Source organism: Homo sapiens, chromosome 2 (genome assembly GCF_000001405.40).
Source record: "Homo sapiens chromosome 2, GRCh38.p14 Primary Assembly".
NCBI classification, from domain to species: Eukaryota; Metazoa; Chordata; class Mammalia; order Primates; family Hominidae; genus Homo; species Homo sapiens.
Window position 1 is genome coordinate 56528401 of NC_000002.12, and position 2527 is coordinate 56530927.

Genomic DNA, 2527 nt, shown 5'->3' on the forward strand with positions numbered 1-2527 from the left:
ACCCTCTCTTTCAAATTTGATACATCACTTTGGAATAAGAGAAATTAGGTTACAGCCTTGACTTGCTGCTGATTTGTTTGAATTTAGGGAAGCCAATTAACATTTCTGCACAGCAAAATTATGATCTGTACAATGAAGACAAACATATTTACCTCATGGGATTATTGCAAGAATTATAGAGCACACACACCACAAGTGCACATATACACACATATCAGGCATGGAGTGAGTACCTAATACTTATTAGTTTCTTTTTCTTTTAAAACAAATCTAGTTATTTAACACCTTTCCAGCCTTAACTCATTTCTTCCTTTTTGAATGGAAAATAGAAACATACTGATTGTTATCAACAATGAAAATAATAGAGTAAAAGTGATGTTAATGTTCCATTAGATTAAGTAAAGATTATTGGACTCTCATGAAATATTTTGTCATTAAGTTATGGGAAAATAAGGTATATGAGAAAAAATCAGCTTATCTAGATTTCCTACTGAAAATCTATATACTACAGTCTAATTTTCCTATTTATGAGATTTGAAAAGATGTCAGGTAAAAACCAAACTACTATTTCTACTTCTACTTACTGTCACGAGTGTATTGTTCATAATAATGTTTAATTTTCTATTAAGTCTCTTTTATCTGCCTTTCTTTATAGTGCACTCATTCCCCATTGTTATTTGCTTACAGCCTTATTATCTATAAATGAAGGGAGAGAAGAAATGCCAACAAGTCTAAATATTGAAAAGTCAGGATATTTACACACAGACGGTTTCACTTTTTAGAATGCATTAGCCGTTACAAGTCTGGTATGTCTTTCAACTTTCAGGTATCAAATTGATGCTGTGCCATTTTCTTTTCCGGAGGCAATTTTTGAGATCATAAATGTGTGCAAGGGACATGAAAACGGGGCCTGAATAATTCAGGATTGAGAGTATTTTCAGCTCATGCCTGTTGTGAAAAAACCAAAGATGCTGGTTTTCACTGGCTATTTGTTTTTGTAACACTTCAAGTAATAAAAGCATCAACATAAATTCTGCATTGGTTTTGTTCCCTCAGTGAAGTTTTGCTATAGAGACTGATGCATCTCTTTGCACAACTGTGTAAATAGTATGCTGCCATTTGGCACAATGAAAGGTTGGTCCTGGTGAAGAATGGAATAAGCACAGGGATTAGAATAAGTGTGGATTGGGAGAGAAAGAGCTCCCCAATCAGGGACTTTTCTGTAATAGATATTGCTCCTGTTGTCTACCCCGCGTATATTTATTTGGGTACCTGCTTTTTCTTTGTCTCATTAGTTCTGGTCAAGCTGGCAGGTACAGTATTCTGACTTTGGTCAATAGAGTAGGCTCTAATGGTCTGATAATTATAAAATTAGAGAGAAAAATAAAATTTTTATATACAAAGATTTTTTTATAATCTATACAAAAATGCTTAACATGGATGAAAAAATCACAAGCAAAAATAAAATACTTGACAAATTTGAAGATACTTCCAAGATACATTACATATAGAGGTCTGATATCACAAATACATAATAAACTCTTAAAATTGGAAGGAAAATAATTTTTATAAAATGGAAGATATGAACAGATAATTCACAAAAGAAATAGCCCTAAAACATAAAAGGCATTCAATTTCAGACATAATTACAAATCTAAAAATTAAAATTGTACTGAGAAACCATTTATGACTTTTCCCAGTTGATGAAAATTAAAAAGTCTAACCACATCCTATTGGCTAGGCTATAAAGAAATCTGCACTCTCATATATTGATGGTGGTAATACAAATGAATACAGCCCTATTGGATGGGAATTTGACAATATCTAATACAAATACATGTTAATTTACCTTTTGACCCAATAATCCTTGTAAGACTTTACTCTGAAAATACACCTCCGATAATACAAAGATAGAAGGAAAAAGAAACTAAAAGATACTGTGTTTCTGTCTGCTTTCCATGTTTTGTTTCTTGTATCCATGTTAATTTTAATATATTTTTGATTATTTACAACATGGAAATGCTTTTAAAAGTCAGAACTAAACCAAATATGATATGATACAGGCCCTTTAATACAAAAGGGAGATGGAGGTAAAGAGTAAAGAAAGAGACAACTGGAATAGGGTACAAAGGTGGGGGCAATACTTCCCTGAGTATACTTTTGGTTTAGTTCTGACTTTTGAAAGCATCTCCATGTTGTATATAATCAAAAATATGTTAAAATTAACTTGGATGCAAGATACCCAACATGGAAAACAAACAGAAGCAAATAAACCTAAATGCATTACAAGTCAGTAACATAACCACAGTGAAGGGGAGGGGGAGAAAGAAAATAATTAACCTAAGAAACTTTGAAAAACAGTGTTTTTTCCCATATACTCTAAGGCTAAAGAAAAAAATAACTGTTCACAAATATTGAACTCTAGTTAGTAGGTTTGTTTTTAACTGATGTATACGTTACCAATTCTAAAACTTATGTATATTCTAGAATTAAGCAAATAAGTAATATATGGTGCATAATGAGAGCA